The sequence below is a fragment of the Homo sapiens genome, chromosome X (assembly GCF_000001405.40).
Source record: "Homo sapiens chromosome X, GRCh38.p14 Primary Assembly".
In the NCBI taxonomy this organism is placed as follows: Eukaryota; Metazoa; Chordata; class Mammalia; order Primates; family Hominidae; genus Homo; species Homo sapiens.
The window spans coordinates 94894016-94916278 of NC_000023.11; the positions used below are offsets into that span (position 1 = coordinate 94894016).

The 22263-nt window shown below is 36.8% G+C and overlaps 1 long non-coding RNA gene across 1 annotated transcript in view, besides 2 other annotated features; it reads left to right on the forward strand.

Moving 5' to 3' along the window:
* The window catches only part of LOC107985710 (uncharacterized), a 71824-nt gene that overhangs the window by 42834 nt on the left and 6727 nt on the right, over positions 1 to 22263 (forward strand). Inside the window, exon 2 of the long non-coding RNA XR_001755916.2 lies at positions 21644 to 21763. This is a non-coding gene — a long non-coding RNA (uncharacterized LOC107985710). The remainder of the gene's footprint in view (positions 1 to 21643; positions 21764 to 22263) is intronic.
* Positions 13729 to 14266: an enhancer, noted in NCBI's record as "H3K27ac-H3K4me1 hESC enhancer chrX:94162743-94163280 (GRCh37/hg19 assembly coordinates)". NCBI's record gives its function as "activates a minimal SCP1, AML or CMV promoter by ChIP-STARR-seq in primed H9 embryonic stem cells {active_cell/tissue: H9 hESC(primed)}" and the evidence as "EXISTENCE:reporter gene assay evidence [ECO:0000049][PMID:30033119]".
* Positions 14267 to 14802: an enhancer, noted in NCBI's record as "H3K27ac-H3K4me1 hESC enhancer chrX:94163281-94163816 (GRCh37/hg19 assembly coordinates)". NCBI's record gives its function as "activates a minimal SCP1, AML or CMV promoter by ChIP-STARR-seq in primed H9 embryonic stem cells {active_cell/tissue: H9 hESC(primed)}" and the evidence as "EXISTENCE:reporter gene assay evidence [ECO:0000049][PMID:30033119]".

The following is a 22263-nucleotide window of genomic DNA, read 5'->3' on the forward strand; positions in this document are numbered from 1 at the left end:
TTTAGTAACTTCTCACCCTCCACCCTAAAGTAGGCCCCAGTGTCTATAGTTCCCTTTGTTGTTTCCATATGTACTCAATATTTAATTTTCACTTATATGTGAGAACGTGTGGTATTTGGTTTTCTGTTCCTGCATTAGTTGACTTTGGATAATGGCCTCCAGCTCCATCCATGTTGCTACAAAATACAAGATCTCATTTTATATGGATGCATAATATTTCATGATGTATATGTACCACATTTTCTTTATCCAGTCTATACTTGATGGGCACTTAGGTTGATTCCATGTATTGGCTATTGGGAATAGTGCTGTGATGAACATATGCATGCACGTGTCTTTATGGTAGAACAATTTATATTCCTTTGGGTATATACCCAGTAATGGGAATGCTGGATCAAGTGATGATTCTGTTTTAATCCTTTGAAATATGGCCAAACTGCTTTCCACAATGGCTGAACTAATTTACATACCTGCCAGTAGTGCATAAGCATTCCTATTTCTTCACAGCCTCACCAGCATCTGTTATTTTTTGACATTTCAATAATAGCCATTCTGACTGGTGTGAGATGATATGGCATACTAGTTTGACTTGCATTTATGTAATTATTAGTTATATTAACCATTCATTTATATGCTTATTGGCTGCACTAATGTCTTATTTTGAAAATTGCCTGTCCATGTTCTTTGCCCACTGACATGGTTTGGCTCTGTGTCCCCATCCAAATCTCATCTTGTAGCTCCTATAATTCCCATGTGTTGTGGGAGGGACCTGGTGGGAAATAATTGAATCATAGGGGCAGGTCTTTCCCTGCTGGTCTCGTGATAGTGAATGGGTCTCACGAGATCTGATGGTTTTAAAAATGGGAGTTTCTCTGCACAAGCTCTTTTTGCCTGCTGCCATCCAAGTAAAATGTGACTTGCTCGTCATTGCCTTCTGCCATGATTGTGAAGCCCCCCCAGTCACGTGGAACTGTAAGTCCAACAAACCTCTTTCCTTTGTAAATTGCTCAGTTTCGGCTATGTCTTTATCAGCAGCGTGAAAAAGGACTGATACACCCACGTTTAAATAGTTTTGTTTGGTTTTTGCTTGTAAATATGTTTAATTTCCTTACATATTCTGGATCTTAGATCTCTGTTGGATGCATAGTTTGAAAATGTTTTCTCCCATTCTGTTGGTCGTCTGTTAACTCTTTTGATCATTTCTCTCTTTTGCTGTGCAGAAGCACTTTCATTTAATTAGGTCCCATCTATCAATTGTTGTTTTTGCTGCAATTGCTTTTGGTGACTCATCATGAAGTCTTTACCAGGTCCTATGTCTAGAATGGTATTTCCTAGTTTTTTTTTTCCAGGGTTTTTATAGGTATTAGTTTTAGATTTAAGTCACTAATTCATTTTATTGATTTTTGTATATGGTGTAATAAAGGGGTCCAGTTTTAATCTTCTGAATATGGCTTGCCAGTTTTCCCAGCACCATTATTGAATGTGGAATCCTTTTCCCAGCACTCGTTTCTATAAATTTTGTCAAAGATCAAACTGGTGTAGGTGTGTGACCTTATTTCTGAGCTCTTTATTCTGTTCCATTGGTCATCATGTTTGTTTTGGCACCAGTACCATGATGTTTTGGTCACTGTAGTCCTATAATATAGTTTGAAGTCAGGTAATGTGATGTCTCTAGCTTTATTCTTTTTGCTTAGGATTGCCTTGGCTATTCGAGCTTCTTTGTGGTTCCACATGGATTTAAAAATAGATATCTAGTTCTGTGAAGAATGTTATTGATAGTTTGAAAGGAATAACATTAAATCTGTAAATTGCTTTGGGCAGTATGGTCAATTTGGCAATATTATTTCTTCCTATCCATGAGCATGGAGTTTTTTTGTTTTTCATTTGTTTGTGTCACTTGATTTTTTTCAGCATGATTTTGTAATTCTTTTTTTTTTTTTTACAGGCTTTCTACTTGGATTTTTATTTTTATTTATTTATTTATTTTTATTATACTTCAAGTTCTAGGGTACATGTGCACAACGTGCAGGTTTGTTACATATGTATACATGCACCATGTTGGTGTGCTGCACCCATTAACTAGTCATTTACATTAGGTATATCTCCTAACACTATCCCTACCCCCTACCCCCACCCCATGACAGGCCCCGGTGTGTGATGTTCCCCTTCCTGTGTCCAAGCATTTTCTCTGTTCAATTCCCACCTATGAGTGAGAACATGCAGTGTTTGGTTTTCTGTCCCTGCAATAGTTTGCTCAGAATGATGGTTACCAGATTCATCCATGCCCCTACAAAGGACATGAACTCATTTTTTATGGCTGCATAGTATTCCATGGTGTATATGTGCCACATTTTCTTAATCCAGTCTATCATTGTTGGACATTTGGGTTGGTTCCAAGTCTTTGCTATTGTGAATAGTTCCACAATAAACATATGTGTGCATGTGTCTTTATAGCAGCATGATTTATAATCCTTTGAGTATATACCCAGTAATGGGATGGCTGGGTCAAATGGTATTTCTAGTTCTAGATCCTTGATGAATTGCCACACTGTCTTCCACAATGGCTGAACTAGTTTACAGTCCCACCAACAGTGTAAAAGTGTTCCTATTTCTCCACATCCTCTCCAGCACCTGTTGTTTCCTGACTTTTTAATGATTGCCATTCTAACTGGTGTGAGATGGTATCTCATTGTGGTTTTGATTTGCATTTCTCTGATGGCCAGTGATGATGAGCATTTTTTCATGTGTCTGTTGGCTGCAAAAATGTCTTCTTTGAGAAGTGTCTCTTCATATCCTTCACCCACTTTGTGATGGGGTTGTTTTTTTCTCATAAATCTGTTTGAGTTCATTGTAGATTCTGGATATTAGCCCTTTGTCAGATGAGTAGATTGCAAAAATTTTCTCCCATTCTGTAGGTTGCCTGTTCATGCTGATGGTAGTTTCTTTTGTTGTGCAGAAGCTCTTGAGTTTAATTAGATCCCATTTGTCAATTTTGGCTTTTGTTGCCATTGCTTTTGGTGTTTTAGACATGAAATCCTTGCCCATGCCTATGTCCTGAATGGTATGGCCTAGGTTTTCTTCTACGGTTTTTATGGTTTTAGATCTAACATTTAAGTCTTCAATCCATCTTGAATTAATTTTTGTATAAGATGTAAGGAAGGGATCCAGTTTCAGCTTTCTACATATGGCTAGACAGTTTTCCCAGCACCATTTATTAAATAGGGAATCTTTTCCCCATTTCTTGTTTTTGTCAGGTTTGTCGAAGATCAGATGGTTGTAGATGTGTGGTATTATTTCTGAGGGCTCTGTTCTGTTCCATTGGTCTATATTTCTGCTTTGGTACCAGTACCATGCTGTTTTGGTTACTATAGCCTTGTAGTATATTTTGAAGTCAGGTAGAGTGATGCCTCCAGCTTTGTTCTTTTGGCTTAGGATTGTCTTGGCAATGGGGGCCCTTTTTTGGTTCCATATGAACTTTAAAGTAGTTTTTTCCAATTCTGTGAAGAAAGTCACTGGTAGGTTGATGGGGGTGGCATTGAAGATTTTGTAATTCTTATTGTAGAGATCTTTCACCTCATTGGTCAGCTGTATTCCTAGGTATTTTATTCTTACTGTTGCTATTGCAAATATGCTTGAGTTCTTGATTTGGCTTTTACCTTGGATGCTTTTGGAGTATAGGAATCCTACAGATTTTTTACATTAATTTTGTATCCTGAAACTTTACTGAAATTCTTTATCAGTTGAAGGGCATTTTGAGTCAAGACTAAGGGGTTTTTCTAGATATATAATTATGTGATCTGCAAAAAGGGAGAGTTTGACTTTCTTTTTTCCAACTTGGATGGCTTTTATTTTTTTCTCTTGCCTGATTGCTCTGGCTAGGACTTTCAGGACCATGTTGAATGGGAGTGATGAAAGGTGGCATATTTGTCTTCTTCTGGCTTTCAAGGGTAATGCATCCAGCTTTTGCTTATTCAGTTTGATGTTGGCTGTGGGTTTTTAATAGATAGCTTTTATAATTTTGAAGTATGTTTCTTCAATTTCTCTTTTGTTGAGGGCTTCAAATGTGAAGAGATGTTGAATTTATCAAAAACTTTGTCTGCATCTATTGAGATGATCATGTGGTTTATGTTTTTAGTTCTATTTATGTGATAAATAACCTCTGTTGATTTACATATGTTGAACCAACCTTGCATCCCAAGAATGAAGTTTACTTGATCCTGGTATATTAGCTTTATGATGGGCTGCTTGACTTGGTTTGCTAGTATTGTGTTGAGAATTTTCGCATCTGTGTTCATCAAGGATATTGGCCTAATGTTATCTCTTTTTTGTTGTGTCTCCAGCAGGTTTTAGTATCAAGATGATGCTGGCCTCATAGAATCAGTTGAGAAGGAATCCCTCCTCCTCAATTATTTGGAATAGTTTGAGTAGGATTGGTACAAGCTCTTCTTTATACATATAGGAGAATTTTGCTGTGAATCCCTCTAGTCCTGGGCTCTTTCTGGTTGGCAGGCTTTTTATTACTGATTCAATTTTTGGAATGCATTCTTGGTCTGTTCAGGGATTCAGTGTCTTTCTGGGTCAGTCTTGGGATGTAGTGTGTGTCTAGGAATTTGTCTACTTCCTTTAAGTTTGTGTACTTATGTGCATAGAGGAATTCATAATAGTCTCTATGGGGTTTTTTTGGTTTGTATTTCTATTGGATTAGTGGTAATATCTGCTTTTTCATTTCTGATTGTGTTTATTTGTATCATCTCTCTTTTTTCTTTATTAGTTTAGCAAGAGCCAATGGTCTAAATATCTTATTAAGTTTTTAAGTACCAGCTCCTGGGTACTTATAAAATATATATTTTTTTGCATCATAATTTTCTTGATTTTAGCTCTGATTTTGGTTATTTCTTCAGCTAGATTTAGATTAGTTTTCTTTGTTTCTCTAGGTTCTCTAGACATAGTTAGGTTGTTAATTTGAAGTCTTTCTAATTTTTTGATATAGGCATCTAGTGCTATAAAGCTTTTTCTTAACACTGCTTTGGCTGTGTCTCAGAGATTCTGGTATGTTTTATCTATTCTCTCATTAGTTACAAAGAATTTCTTAATTTTTGACTTAATTTCATTAATAACTCAAAAGGCATTCAGGAGCAAGTTGTTTAATTTTCATCTAGTTGTATGATTTTGAGCAATTTTCTTAGGGTTGATTTCTATTCTTATTGCATAGTGGTCCAAGAATGTAGTTGGTATTTTAAGCTTTTTTTTATTTAATAATCTGAGGATTGTTTTGTGTCCAATTGTGTGGTTGATTCAAAGTGTGTATCATGTGGTGATGAAAACGATGTTTATTCTTTTGTGTTTTTCATGGCGAGTTCTGTAGATGTCTATCAGGTCCATTTGATAAAGTATTAAGTCAGGTCCTGAATATTTTTGTTGATTTTCAGCCTTGATTATCTAATGCTGTCAGTTGGGTATTGAAGTCTCTAATTATTATTGTGTGAGAATCAGTATTTTTGTAGGTCTCTGAGAACTTGCATTATGAATCTCGGTGCTCCTGTGGTGAGTGTATTTATATTTAGGATATTTAGGTTTTCTTTTTGAATTGAATCCTGTACCATTATGTAATGCACTTCTTTATCATTTTTGGTCATCTTTAGTCTTTGTTTGTTTAAAGTCTGTTTTGTGTGAAATTATGATAGCAAATCCTGCTGCTTTTTGTTTTCCATTTGGTTGGTAGATTTTTCTCCATTCCTTTATTTGAGCCTATGAGTGTCATTACATGTGAGATGGATCTACTGAAGACAGTGTACTATGGGGTTTTGCTTCTTTATCCAACTTGCCAATGTGTGCCTTTTAACTGAAGCATTTAGCACATTTACATTCAAGGTTAGTATTGGTGTGTGTACATTTGATCATGTCATCATGTCGTTAGCTGGTTTTATGAGATCTATTTGTGTGATTACTTTATAGTGTCACTGGTCTATGTACTTAAGTTTGTTTTTGTAGTGGCTGGTAATGGTCTTTTAAAAATATTTAGCACTATTTTCATGACCTCTTGTAAACCAGGTCTGGTGGTAACAATTTCTTTAGCATTTGCTTTTTTTAAAAGGATCTGATTTCTCCTTCACTTATAAAGCTTAGTTTGACTGAACATAAAATTTTTTGTAGAAAATGCTTTTCTTTAAGAATGCTGAATATAGTCCCCCAATGTCTTCTGCCTTGTAGGGTTTCTGGTGACAGGTCTGCTGTTAACCTGATGGGGTTTCCTTTGTAGGTTATCTGCTTTTCCCTTCTGGCTATCTTTAACACTTTTCTTTCATTTCAAACTTGGAGAATTTGGTTACTATGTGTCTTGAAGACAATCTTCTTGTGTAGTATCTTGCAGGGCTTCTCTGTATTTCTTGAATTTGAATGTTGGCCTCTCTAGCAAGGTTGGGGAAATATTCATGGGCAGTATCCTGAAATATGTTTTCCAAAATCGCTTGGTTTCTTTCCCTGTCTCTGAGGCACATCGATGGGTCATTAAATGGGTTTGTTTATATAATCCCATATTTCTCAGAGGTTTTGTTAATTCTTCTTTATTGCTTTTTTCTCTGAGTTATTTCTGATAGCCAGCCTTAAAGCCCTGAGATTCTTTCCTCATCTTTGTCATTTCTGCTGTTGACATTTGTGACTGCATTATGAAATTCTTATAGAGTGTTTTTCAGCTCTATCATATTAGTTTCATTCATTTTTTATGATGGCCATTTTGTCTATCAGCTCCTGTATAATTTTTTTTGCAATCCTTAGATTACAATAAAATTCCTTGGCTTGGGTTTCATTTGTCTTCTGTATGTTTATGATCTTCATTCCTGTCCATATTCTGAATTCTATTTATGTCACTTCAGCCATGTCCACCTGGTTAGGAGCCATTGCTGGGATACCAGTGAAGTCATTTTGAAATAGAAGACACTCTAGCTTATTGAGTTACCACAGTTTTTGCGCTAGGTCTTTCTCATCTTTGTGGGCTGATGTTTCTTCAATCTTCGAAGCTGCTGACCTTTGGATTTTTTTAATTATTATTTTATTTGATGTCCTTGTGGGTTTCATTGTGGTATAAGATAGGATAAGTTGACTGTATTCATTTCTGGAATATTTTCTTGAGCCAAGGTTCAGTTCAGGACTCTTGGACTGCATGTTCCAACTCTGTAGGACTGTCATTGGCCCCCCAGCTTTGTGCTGTGTCCCTTGGAGGTTAGGAACTTTCCATGCCACACTGGAGTGGCCATATTTTTCCCAGACCTCTGATCACAACACCCCAATGTGTGGTGCCAGCCACAGGGCTTCATAGGTTGGTAGCAAAGGGACTTATCCTTGTTTTCATGTGCCAGTGGCAGTGGCAGCACAGTGAGGTGCATGCTCATTGGCTTCAGTGGGGAGCTGGCAGGTGCACAGGTGCCAGATGCCTTGTAGTCATTCACAATGACAGTGGTGGCAGCATTATGTAGCGGGATAGGGGCCTTGCTGCTGTCTGTATGTTTATTTGCACCAGAAATGGTGTTAGCACAGGGGTGGTGTGCCGGCTGGCACAGGACCGTGTGTGCTTTCATGCATGTATTCAAATTGGCAGCAGCTGCTGCTAAGTTTGGGGGTTTGTCTGCAGGTCTTTCTGAGTAGTTTTGCACTGGTGGCAGTGTTAACATGGGGACGGGTCACTGGCAGTCATGCAGCTGTCAGTCTCCATGCTCATAAAGGCTCTGATGGCAATGAAGGTGCATCAGGGGAGTGGGGTTGTGTGCACTAATATCAACAGCTATGACATAGTGGGGTGCACATACATGTGCACAAGCAGGGAAGGGGTGGTGAGGTCTACCTGCATGCATACTCACTGGCAAAGCAATGGTGAGGGTGGCTGTGGGCAAGTGCCTGCAGGCAAAGAAGCTCAGGGGAGGATGTGGTGGGGAGACAGAATGTATGGGCTGGTGCACATCCATGGGAGTGCTCTACTGGGCTCTCCATCAGTCAAGTATGGCTCTCCAGCACACAAGCTATAACGTGGGCCCCCAAGACGCATCCTATCTGGGCATCTGAGGCAGCACTGCAAGCAGGTGTGGACAGTCTGAGGCAACGGGAGAGGCCAGCAGACTGAGGGGTACTCAGGTCAGACCAGCCCCATTTTGTGGGCAAGACCACCCTTCTGTTTGGGTTCAACAATTTCCCTTGGGCTAAAGTTTCCTACGGGAGCAAGGCAAGCCTTTGAATATTGGCACCCTGGCTGTGCTCCAATACAGATGCTCCCACACTAACCCCTCTGGGCTCAGTACTAGGTAGAGTTCTGCTCCCACCACTTCTCTATGCAGCTTTACCTGCCAGCTCAAGTGGCCTTGAGGATCATGGACTCTCCTAATGGCAGATTTGCAGAGACCAATGGCAATAGCCAGTTTCTTCTTGCCTGCACAACCCACGCTTTCCCGAGGAGTCACTGGGGGTTAGGAATGAGTCCTGGTGCATGTTAGTCCCATGCAGGATTTCCAGCTTCCTCCCACTTTAGCCCACCATCTGTGTATTCCCTTTATACACTTTCAATGCCTTCCTTCTGAAGATCTTCTGGGAGTTTGCCAGTCTTTTCAATGTCCTGGTTCCTCGGTGGCAAATGTTACTCCCAACTGCATCTAGTAGACCATTTTGCCTCTGAGTCATATGCATATCTGATTTCTCCCTCTGATGTAGAAAATACCTTTTAAACATTTTTAACTGGGCTACTCACTTAGTTATTATTGAGTTTTAAGAGGTTTTTGTATATTTTGCTTAATGGTCATTTTTCATATATCTTTTGCAAGTATTTTCTCCCAATCTGTGGTTTTTACTTTCATTCCCTTGATGGTGCCTTTCACAGAACATAAGTTTTTATTCAAAGAGAATTGGGTCCAGGACATTCTGTACATAGCTAAATTTCTCCATACTCAAGTCTCATAGTGGGCCCTGTGGAACCCACACTTACAAAATTTGGCCTTCCATATATACAGGTTTAGCACCTCACAACACCATATTTTTATTAATTTTTGGTTTTAGACGCAGAACCTGCTAACACAGAGGGCCAACTATATTTATTGAAAAACATTGTGTATAAATTGACCCACTCATTTCAAATTCATGTTGTTCCAGGATCAACTGTGTAATGAAGTCTAGTTACCATGGATCATATTTTTGGTGTCGTATCTAAAATGCAATTGCCAAACACAATGCCATCTAGATTTTTTTCTCATGTTATCTTCTAGGAGTTTAGTTTAATAGTTTTGCATTTTACATTTAGGCCTACAATCCGTTCTGAGTTAACTTTTGTGAAACACACACAGTCTGTGTCTAGATTCTTCTACTTTTTGCTCTTCTTGTTCTTGTACTCTTTGAGGGTAACTGACATATCCTTGAGAGGGCATATTTCTAGGCTTTCTATTCTTTTCCATTGATCTATTTGTCTATTCTTTTCCCAGTATCACACTCTCTTAATTACTGAAGATTCATAGTAAATCTTGAAATTAGATAGTGTCAGATCTTTAACTTTGTTCTTCTCCTTCATATTGTATTGTCTATTTTTGATATTTTGCCCCTCCCTATAAAATTTAGAATAATTTTGTCAATATCCAAAAAAGGTAACATACTGGGATTTTGATGGGAATTGAGTTAAATCTGTAGATCAAGTTTGGAAGAATTCACATCTTGACAATACTAAGTTCCTATGTATGAGCATGGAATATCTCACCATTTATTTAGTTAATTGATTTCATTTATCAGATTTGTTTTAGTTTTTCTCATGAAGATCTTGTACACAGTTTGTTAGGTCCATACCTAAATATTTCAGTTTGGGGACTACTGGTATGTACAATACTGATTTTTTTTGTTTGTTTTTCAGCTAACTTTCTGTTGTGATTTCTTGTGTAATTTCATCATCATCCAAGAGCATACATTATATAATCTGTATTCTTTTAAATTTTATAATTTAAATTTCATAAAATGTGTTTTACGGCCCAGAATGTGAACAATCGTGGTGACTATTCCAGGGGTGCTTGAGAATTATGTGTATTCTCCTGTTGTTGGATAAAGTGGTCTAAAGATGTGGATAATTTCCAGTCGATTGATAATGCTGTTGAGTATAAATATGTCCTTATAAGGTTTTTGTCTGTTGTTTATCTCCATTTCTGAGAGAGCAATGTTGAAGTCTCTAACTATAATAGTAAATTCATCTATTTCTTCTTGCAGTTTTATCCATTTATGGTTCATGTGTCTTGTGCCCTTTAGGCACAAAAATGTTAAAAATTGCTATGACTTCATGTATAATTGATCTCTTTATTATTAGGAAATACATTGTTTTAATTTCTAATAATTATATTTTCTCTAAAGTATGCTGTCTAAAATTAATATAACTATTCCCACTTGATTACATTTAGCATAGTATACCTTCGCCCACCCATTTACTTTTAAAATATATGTGTCTTTATATTTAAAGTGTATTACTTATAGACAACATGTAGTTGAGTATTGTTTTGTGATCCACGCTGACAATATCTGTCTTTTAATTGGATATTTTAATTGGATTATTCAGGCCACTGATATTTAAAGTAATCATCAATATAATTAGACTAACATCTACCATATTGGCTACATTGTCTTTGTTCTTATTTTTGTCTTCCACATTTTTATGCTTTCATGGTTTATTGAGCACTTTATATGATTGCATTTTCTCATCTTTCTTAGCATAACAATTACATTTCTTTTCTTGGTTTCTCTTTTTTAAGTCATTGTCCTGGAGCTTGTAACGTATATTTGCAGCTAATCTAAATTCACTTTCAAATAACACTATACTGGTTCATAAGTCATGCAAGAGACTTATAATAACACAGTATTCCTAATTATTCTATCTCATTCCTTGTGTCATTACTGTCAGTGTTTCACTAACACATAAGCTAAAATTATGAATACATTGTTGCCCTTATTATTTTTAACAAACTGTTATCTGTTAGATCAAGTAAAAATAAGAAATGTAAAAGTTTTTGGTTTGCTTTCTCTTACTTATTTTCCACCACTCTTCCTTTCTTTATGTAGGCCAAAGCCTCTGACTCATGTAATTTATTTTCTCTCAGACCAACTTTGTTTAACATTTATTGCAAAGAAGGCCTACTGGTAGTAAATTCTCTCAAATTTTGTTTGACTTAGTTTTTATTCTCCTTCACTTTTGAAGAATAATTTTGCATGATACAGAATTCTGGGTTGGTGGTTTTGTTTTGTCTCTCTTAATCCTTTAAATATTTTTCTTTATTATTATTATTTTTTGCTTGCATAGTTTCTGAGAAGATGTTGGATATAAGTCTAGTCTTTACTTCTGTATAGGTAGTAACTATTTTGCTTTTAAGATTTGGAAGTTTCTATTGACGTAGTTTTAAGATCGCAGATTCTTTCCTAAGCTGAACTGAATCTACGAATGAGCCCTTCAAAGGCATTCATTTATCTTATAATTTTTACCTTTAAGATTTATTTTTTATTCTTAGAATTTCTATCTCTCTGCTTACATTACTTATCTCTCATTGCATGTTGCATACATTTTCTGTTAGAGCTCTGAGCATATTAATGATAGTTTTGTTTAATGTTCCTGGTCTCATTCTTCTAACATTTTTGCAATATCTGAATATTGTTCTGATTTTTACTTTTTGTCTTCAAACTGTGTTGTTCGCCTTTTTGTATGTCCTGTAATCTTGAATAGAAGCTAGAGATAATGTGCTAAGTAAAAGGAATTGTGGTAGGTAAGAATTTAGTGACGCAGTGGTATAATGAAGTAGGGGTGAAGTATCATTCTATAGTCCTATGGTTAGTCCTCAGTCTTCTAGTGAGCCTATTCACTGAGCCACGAACCTTAGAAGTGTTTCACAGTCCCAACTCCCACTTATGTGGGACTAGATGGGGTAGAGAGGGGTTGAGCTGAGTGTTTCTCTTCACCCAACTTGGTTCAATTCTCATAAAACCCCCATTAAGTTAGACTCAGGTAAAAAAAATTTTTTTGCACACAGGCCTTGTTTAGAATAACAGAATGGGAAGGCGTATTTACAAATGGTTATTTTCATCCTCTTGCTTCAGGAAGCATGAGAAGATTTTTCTGCACTCTTCACTGTAAGAACTACTACAGTGTCTGGAGTTGAAAGTCATAAAAATTTTGGTATACCTCTAAGAAGAGGCCCTCCTGCAGTCTTCAGTTCTCAGACTGAACTTTCAGAAATTTGTTAATTGTAGTTCAAGTTTTCTCCCCTGGTACTTGTTCCAGTTGAAGTTTTTCTCATCAGTTTCTGCTCAAGTAAGCTGTGGCTTACTGTATACACCTGTCTATCCCTTCAATTTTGGTGACACAAATTTTCCCTGTGATGTCAATGCTCTGATGGATCTAAAAAGAGTTTTGTTAGTTTTTTAGTTTGTTCAGTTTTTCGGTTGTTAGGATGGAGTGATCACTTCCAATATCCTTACATGCTGGACTGAATACTGAGGTTCCTGAATTTTCCTTTTCCTATAAACTATAATTTTATTATTTTCTATATAATTATTTTTTACTTTGTTGCCCTGAGTTTTTAAATTATTTTCAAGAAAACACTTAACTGTAGGCAGACCACCAATTATGTCTATATTCACATATAATATCGTAAACTTTATATTCATCTTAAGTAGTTAACTACATTTAATATGTATTCATCACTGGATATTCCATTTTAACTGTAGTCTTGTAGTATATTTATGTACAAATAATTATTTTATAAAGTGGAAAACATTTGCTATTGTACTATGTAAACTTAATTTCATCTATTTCATCTAATAATAGCTTATTTTGATGTTGAGAACTTGTTTATTGTTACATCAAAGCAACTGGAACAGCATGTGACATAAAATTTCACTTGATAAATATCTATAAGCAAATAAACAAGGAATAGAGATAGTATGTGTTTGTTACAATTCTTTGAAGTTTAGCTAAGAAAAGAACGAGGTTGTACAGTAGAGGTAGTACTAGGTAAAAAAATAATGTGTAATTTGATTGTTTTGGGGTATTTTTGCATAAGAACCCCTTTATAGAATGAGAAATAGTAGGGAAGAAATTGTTAATAATATAGAAGACAGAGATGATTTATAAGAGTAAAAGATCCAGAGAAGAGAGAAACGTAATAAAATTATTGAAAAATATTAAGGAAGTGTGGCCATATACTGACTTTGATAGAGTTTGAGAGTGTGTTTGACAATAGTGGTGCACTTCTGGAATAGTGGGTGCAAGTACTTTCCCCACAAAATTTTTTATTTAGTCTTTGCATATTTTAATTATTTAAGAAAAGCATTAAATAAAAAACGAAGTAAAACACACAGGCAAATAAACAAATAAATACTGTCCCTGTCCACCATAAAATATGTTTTGGAATTCACTTCTGGGATGTTTATTTTGTATTTTAAAAATTGTTCTTAACTCTGTACCACAACTCACTGCTTAAATTATTAACTTTATAGCACATTTGAATATCGTGGTATGATAGAATTGTTTTAATTTATTTTCCTTTTCAAAAATATTTTGTCTAGGCCTGATCATTCTCCCAGATAAAGGTTAAAATGATTATTTTAATTTTCATTAAATTAATGAAGAAATATATACAGAGAATTAACGTTTAGCAAATATTAAATTATTCATTCTAAAAAATAATGCATTCTTTTATATATTTTGGTCTTATTATATTTCCTTCAGTAAAGTTTTTGAGTTGTCTTCAAATAGACCCTGAACATCTTTTGTAATACTTATTCCTAGCTATTTTTTTATTGGTATTAAAAATAGAATGAAAACAACAACAAACAAAAAAAAGTATTGGTCACAGCTGTGGAAGAGGCCAAGATGGCTGACTAGAAGCTGCTATTGTAGGCTGCTGTCAGGAAAAGAAAAAATAATGGTGAGTAATTCCTCGATCTTAAACTGGAACATCCAGGTGAACACATCAGGATTTATCAAGAAAACAACTTGACCCAGAGAGAACAGAGAGGAGCAAGACAGGATGACTGCCCACCCAGAGGTACCACAGTGCCAGGGGAGGCTTCTCCACCCTGGGGAAAAGTGAGTGAGTGAGAGTTCCTGGGGACCCACACTTCTGCCATGGACCTTTGCAACCCTGGGCTCAGGTGATCTCCCCATGTGCCCCTTCCACTGGGACTTCCAGACTGACACGGAGAGCTATATGGAGTCTAGGCAGTCACCACTCATGCACACTGGGAGTCCTGGGAGCCTTAAACCCCCAGACATCCGGTCATTTGTGGCTGCTGCGCCAGCAGTGAGGGAGGCCAGGGTCTCTTGCATGCCCCCAGGGGACGGGCTGAATCCAGCTGACTGAGCAGTGACAGAAAGCAGGCCTTGCCTCTACTGCATCTCGCAGAATAAAGCCTACTGGCCTGGACCTCCCGCCACCCCACATCTGCACTCACCAGCTGGTAGCAGATCTGCACTCCCCTGGGATAGTGCTCCTAATGGGAGAGACTAGCCGTCATTTTTGCCATGTCACAGCCCCCACTGTTACAGCCTTCAAGCTCTAGATTAGGAAGTAGCACGAATCTCCAGCACAGCACAGCCATCCCATGGAAAAGCAGCAAGACTATTTTTTTTTATTTTCTTTTTTTTCCACAAGTCCTCAATTCTGCTTTTTCTCAGTGGGCAGAACCCCCAACCTGGGAATCCAGCCACCTCATGCCAGTAGCAACTTTGTACCTCCCTGAGACAGCTCCCAGAGGGAGAAGCTGACCGCCACTTTGCTATCTCTCAGCTCCCACTGCTACAGCCTTCAGTCTCTGGAGAGTATGCAGCGACTAGAGAGTGGCACGAATTCCCAGCACAGTGCAGCCATCCCGCAGAAAAGTGACCAGACTGTTTTTTATGTGAGTCTGGATCCCGCTTCTTCTCACAGGGCAGGATCCTCCCCTCAACGTGGGACTCCAGCCACCCTCGCCAGAGCTCTCAGAATGGTATGAGTTCTGATCTTCCCTGAGACAGAGCTGCCAGAGGGAGGGGCTGACCACCATTTTTACTGTCTTGCTGCCTCCATTGCTACAGCCTTCAGGGTCTTGATTATACGTGGTGGTTAGGAATTGGTGTGGGTCTCCAGCACAGTGCAGCCATCCCACAAGAAAATGGCCAGACTGTTTTTTGTTTTGTTTAGTTTTTGAAGGTTTCTCATCCTGCTTTTCCTCACTGGGTAGGACACCCTGACCTGAGACTCCAGCAACCCCCCATTTAGGCTCTCCAGACAGTAGTAACTCTGATCATCCCTGGGACAGAGCTTCCAGCGGGGGAGGCTGGCGGATTTTGTTGTCTCACAACCTGCCCCATTATATCCTTCAAGCTCTGGAGAGTACCTGGTGATTACAGAGTGGCATGAATCCCCAGCACACTGCAGCCATACATGGAAAAGTGGTTAGACTGTTCCTTATGTGGGTCCCTAATCCCACTTTTCCCTGGGTGGGTCCCCTATCCTGGGATTATAGCCACCCCTCACCAGAGCTCTTGGGCTGGTAGTAGCTCTGCACTTCCTCGCAATGGAGCTCCCAGAGGGAGAGGCAGGCCTCCGCCTGCCTGAGGTGATTTGAGACGGAATCTTGCTCTGTCACCCAGGCTGGAGTGCAGTGGCACAATTTCGGCTCACTGCAACCTCCGTCTCCAAGGTTCAAGCGATTCTCCTGCTTCAGCCTCCTGAGTAGCTGGGATTACAGGCACCCACCACCACACTCAGCTAATTTTTATTTTTGTAGAGATGGGGTTTCACCATGTTGGCCAGGCTGGTCTCGACCTCCTCACCTCAGGTGATTTGCCTGTCTTGGCCTCCCAAAATGCCTGGATTACAGGCATGAGCCACTGCGCCCAGCACTATCAACACCTCTATGCACACAAACTGGAAAATCTAGAAAATGTGGATAAATTTCTAGACACATACAACCTCCCAAGGTTAATCTAGGAAGCCTGCCAATCAGAAAAAGCCAGAACCAGAAGGATTCACAGCTGAATTCTACCAGATGTATAGAGAAGAGCTTGTACCATTTCTACAGAAATGATTCAAAAAAAAAAATTGAGGAGGAGGGACTCCTCTTCAACTCATTCTATGAGGCCAACATCATCCCAATACTAAAACCTGGCAAAGACACAACAAAAAAGGACAATGTCAGGCTAATATATTTGATGAATGTAGATGCGAAAATCTTTAACACAATATTAGCAAACCAAATCCAGCAGCCTATCAAAAAGCTAATCCACCATGATCAAGTAGACTTCATTCTTGAGATGCAAGCTTGGTTCAACATATGCAAAACAATAAATAAGATTCACCACAATCACAGAACTAAACACAAAACCCACTTGATCAACTCAATAAATCCACAAAAGACTTTCAATAAAATGTATCATCCTTCATCTTGAAAATCCTCAATAAACCAGATATTGATGGGACATACTTCAAAATATTAAGAGCCATCTACGAAAAACCCACATCGAACATGATACTAAATGGACAAAAGACGGAATCCCTTGAAAATCAGCACAAGACAAAGATGCTTTTTCTCATCATTCCTGTTTAACATAGTATCGGAAATCCTGGGCAGAGCAATTGGGGAAGAGGAAGAAATAAAATAAAGAGTGGAAGCCAAACTATCCTTGTTCGCAGATAATATAATACTGAATCTAGAAAATCCCATAGGTTCTGCCATAACTCCTTGATCTAATGAACAACTACACAAAGTTTCAAAATACAAAATCAATGTACAAAAATCTATAGAATTTCTATACACCAACAACGTCTAAGCTGAGAGCCAAATCAGGAACACAATTTCATTCAAAATCGCCACAAAAAATAAAATGCCTAGGAATGCAGCCAACCAGGGAGGTAAAAAATCTCTACAATGAGAATTACAATTCACTGCTTAAAAAAATCAGAAATGACACAAACAAATGGAAAATCATTCCTTGCTCATGGATAGGAAGAATTAATATCATTCAAATTGCCATACTGCCCAAAGCAATTTACAGATTTAATGCTATTACTATCAAACTACCAATAACATTCTTCATAGAATTAGAAGTAAATGTTTTAATATTCATATGGAACCAAAAATAGCCTGAATATTCAAGCAATCCTAAGCAAAGTGATATATACTATTTAATATATATGAATCACATTTTAATTCTTTGTTATACTATTAGTTTCAGTTTTCTGTCTCAAAACATTGACTAAAATTTCCAGAAATGTATTTAATAATATGGTTGATAGGGGCAATTTCTACTGTTTCTGATTTTAATAAAAATTTTTCTGTCACTGTGTTTTCACTAAGAATATATTTTGACTATTAGTTTATAGTTCTACAGTTCTATAGTTCTAAACATTTTTACAAGAATTATTTTATTGTATGAATTATTTTATAGTACCATATGATATAATTATCTTTTTCCTCATTTTACTCTAGAATAAATTGAGGCAAGAGATGTTTCTTAGTATGCTCATTGCTGCATAACTTTAAGCAATAGAGCCAAAATTCAAGAAAGAAGATCAGTCTGTTTCTAGAGTACATATTTTAAGTGCCTTTCTTTTCTTTGATTACTCAATGTTTTGGAGAAATGTATGGTACTATTCACCAAATGCTATTTTTTTTTATCATTTAAGAAAATGCTTATATTGGTTTCTTTCTTTGAATTATTAATGCAGTTTAATTTTACTGTTAACAAACAGAACCATCCTTGTATTCATAAGTTAGGATTTATAGATATCCTGTCATTAAATAAAGGAATGATTTTGTTAGGTAAGGGGTGACTGAGTGGTATAGACGTGAATGAGTAAATAATGAAGAACTCAAAAACATTGCAAACCTAGTATATTGGGTAGTATACACATATACATATAAATATATATCTTATAATGCATTTCTATATATGTCAGATATTCATAAATGTATCAATTATTTATATATTTGTAGTCTATTGGACTTTTGATTCTGTTTCTCTGAATAACTCTGACTAGTATAGGCAGTTTATATGTAGACATATGTTTTTGTCCATTCAACCCACTAAAGGCTTCAAAGCAAGATGTGGATAAACTAGACTAGTGTATAAATACAAATAGTAATATAGAAGTTTGGAGAATGTAGCAAGTCATTTACCTATGTTTATATCCATCCTGTCTTGCTATTAGTGGGAAGAGATAATCTTATTCTTATCTAACACTGATCATTAGAGGGGATTTTAACCAAACTCACTGTATATTTTAAATTTAACTATAATTTTAGCATCTGTCAACAGATATTCTACCTTTTTATACAATTCAAGTTGGTGACTCTTAACAATGTACTTCTTCTCTGGAGGTGGTAAATCAGAATCATAAAAGAGGGAGTAGTAGCCATTATATTAATATTTTATAGAAAATGGTTGAAATTGTTTAGAAACAATAATGCCTATGAAACCATGAAAGTCAGAAATGTCCTTCTTTTCTGATATGTGTGTGTACATGGTTATTTGTCTGTATGTATGCTAATATAGCTATTTTTAACCTCAATCAACAAGTTAGCCAAGCTATAAATACAACTTTAATTATTTTTCTTTTAATTTAAAGTCCTTATTATGTTGAGGACAGTTTGGAGTTTTCCCACTTCACCACAATCAGGCTAAATTCCAGGGGTACATGTAATTTCAAGTCATTATAATGGGATTATATGTTTCTTGAATAATATTTTTATATCTTTTGTTCATCAGTGTGTTTATTATTTCAGGTAATCTTTTGTTTTAATCTACATAGATCATTACATTGATGTTATTCTTTCATTTCTGCTAGATTTTCTTAGATCCAGAGACTTCTTTCTCTAATGTAATCATAGGAGCTTAATAATTATGCTTTTCATTACCACAATGAAGCATAGAAATCTCTGATAGGCAAGGACTAACTTTTCCTGTGTCTCCACAAAACTATCTGAGGTCTTATTACCGTTCTGAAACTCTATGTACTAAACAGAGTCCATGGCACACCTCTGAGATTTACTTTCCCTCAATGCTTCCTATTTAATTTACCCATACAATTTCTCTTAAATCAAAAAGTCTATGTACGTATAATAGTCTGAGATCAAAGTGCCAGCAAACTCAGTGTCTGGTAAGGGCTTGCTCTCTGCTTCCAAGGTGGTGCCTTGGCGAAAGGGACAAACGTGGTTCCTTCACATGGAAGAAGGGGAAAAATAGCCAATCAGGATTCCTAAAACCCTTCTGTATGGGCACCGATTCAATTCATGAGACTAGATCTCTCATTTCCTAATTACATTCTAAGGACCTCACCTCTTAAATCTATTGCATTAAGATCTGCGTTTAAACATGAATATTGGAGAAAGACAATGAAACCACAGGAGTAACTAAGTCATATATGAAGGGCGACTGCTCTGAAGACTCATTGAACTTTGCATAAATGAAGCATAAATATTTGTGTTGTTAAGTTAGAAAAGTTTTGTTATTTGCTTGTTATTGTAGCATTACCTGATCTATCTGGAGTAACATGAGATAAAATTATAATTCAATTAATATCCAAAATAGTATATTAATGCATTATTTACCCAACTACCTACATATCTATTTATAAGCACATGTGCATGTACACACACATTAACATTTTGTTCTTGATTTCTAGGCCTTGCCTTACTAGGTAAATGACTAAGACAGAAATTCAATGATGAATTTCTTATTTCAAGTTTGTTTAGAACAAATGTTCTGGGACCATAAGTTAGTAGAGAGAAGTCTTATGGAAAATAAAATTAATAAGTGCAGTTTCATTATACACAAATGTCAGATAAATAAATCAGGTCAGACAAAAACCCAGCAATAGGAAATAAAATATTAGGCAAAAGCAGTAGCCTGTGCTTCAAGCCCAAGGTGAACAGATGAAATAGATTAACTAAAGTAATAAGTAGAAATAGTTGAAGTTAAAAAAAAAAAAGAAAAAGAAAATCTGAAGGGTGGGGAAAGATGGCAGAATAGAAGACCCACCAATGACCCTCCCTGCAAAGACCCTATTTAACAACTATCTACACAGAAAAAACAAACAAACAAGCAAAATGCCTTAATTAGAACAAACAATCAAGTGAGTAATTACAGTACCTGGTTTTATTGTATAAATCTCAGTGATGACCTGTTATAGCAGAAAGCAAAATCAGACCAAACTCAGCTGATGCCAACCCACAGAGGGAGTAGTAAAACCAGCCCTAGCCAGAGAATTGCTGATCCCAGTTGTCAGAACTTGAGCTCCAGGAAGCCTTGCCACCTAATGCTAAAGTGCTGTGGGGCTCTAAATACACTTAAAAAGCAGTCTGTGCCACAAAGACTGCAAGTCCTAGGTGAATTCTAGGGCTGAACTGGGCTTAGAGCCAGTGGACTGTAAGGGCACGTGACCTACTGAGACACTGGCTGGAGTGGTTAGGGGAGTGCTGGCACTACTCCTTCTCTAACTCCAGACTGCACAGCTCACTGCATCAAAAGACAGTCCTTTCTTTTGCTTAAGGAGATGAGAGGAAACAGTCAGGAGTAATTTGTGTTGTATCTTGGATACCAGCTTAGCCACAACAGGTTAGGATACTGGTCAGAGTTGTGAGAAAAAATAGGTCATTATACCATAATAAAAAAGGTCAATTCAGCAAGGGGATATAAGAATTATAAATATACCAGAGTCAAACACTGGAGCATAAAGACATATGAAGCAAATATGTTTAGAGCTAAAGAGAGAGAAAGACCCCAATAGAATAATAGATGGTAAGTTCAACACCCCACTTTTAGCTTAGAGAGATATTCCAAACACAAAATTAATAATTAAAAAAAAACCTTTACACTTAAGCTTCATTATAGACCAAATGAACATCATAGCTATTTACATAACATTTCATCCAACAGCTGCAGAACGCACATTCTTTTTCTCAGCACATGGATTAATCCCTAGGATAAACCATATTATGTTATAAAACAAGTCTTAAAAAATCCAAAAAATTAAAATAATATTAGGCATTTTATATGAAGAACGATGAAGCAAAACTAGAAATTAAAAACAAAAGAAATTTTGAAAACCACCCAAACACGTGAAAATTAAACAATATGCTCCTGATCAGTGAGTCTATGAAAAATTTTAAAAAATTAAAAAAAAATTTGAAACAAATGATAATGGAAATGTGACATACCAAAACCTGAGGAATACAGCAAAAGCAGTAATAAGAGGGAGGTTTATAGCTATAAATCCCCACATTAAAAAAGAAGATAAAGTTCAAATTAACAACCTGACAATGCATCTGAAATAACTTGAAAAGCAAAGGTAAGCCAAACCAAACTAAAAATTAGTATAGGAAAAGTAATAATAGAGATCAGAGCAGAAGTAAAGATTGAAATGGAGAAAAAAACACAAGAGATTAATAAAATAAGAAGTTTGGTTTTTTTATTTTTATTTTTTAAGTTAAACAAAATTCACAAACGTTTAGCCAGACTAAGAAAAAAACAGAGCATAACTGAATAAATTAAACCAAAAATAACAAAGGAGACATTCTGTGATCGTTTATATTAGGTGCCCACTTGATTAGATTGAAGAATGCCTAGATGACTGATAAAGTATTATTTCTGTCTGTGTCTGTGAAGGCGTTGCCAGAGGAGGCAGATATTTGGTCAGTGGACTGAGAGAGGAAGATCTACACTCAATGTGGGTGAGCACCATCCAGTTGGCTGCCATTGCAGCTACAACAAAGCAGGTGGAAAAATGTGAGATAACCTTGCTTGCCAAATCTTCTGGCTTCCTTCTTTTCTCAGTGCTGCATGCCTCCTCCTATTCCTCCTGCCTTTGGACATAGGACTTCAGGTTCTTTGGCCTTTGGACACTTGAACTTTTACCAGTGGCCTGCTGGGGACTCTTGGGCCTTTAGCCACAGAATGAGGGCTGCACTGTCAGCTTCCCTGGTTTTGAGGCTTTCAGACTTGTACTGAGCCACTACCAGCTTTCCTTTTCCCCAGCTAACAGAGGGCCTATAGTGAGACTTTGTCTTGTAATTATGTGAGCCAATTTTATATAATAAACTTCCTTTCATATATGCATACATCCTGTTACTTCTTTTCCTTTGGAGAACGCTGACTAATACAGATTTTACTTCCGGGGTAGTTCTGGACAAAAAGAATTTTAATGATGGATTTCTTTGGTTGGTTCTGGGGTTTCTGGATTTGGCTCTTTAAAATCTGATTAGACCTAAAAGTGCTAAGGACTCTAC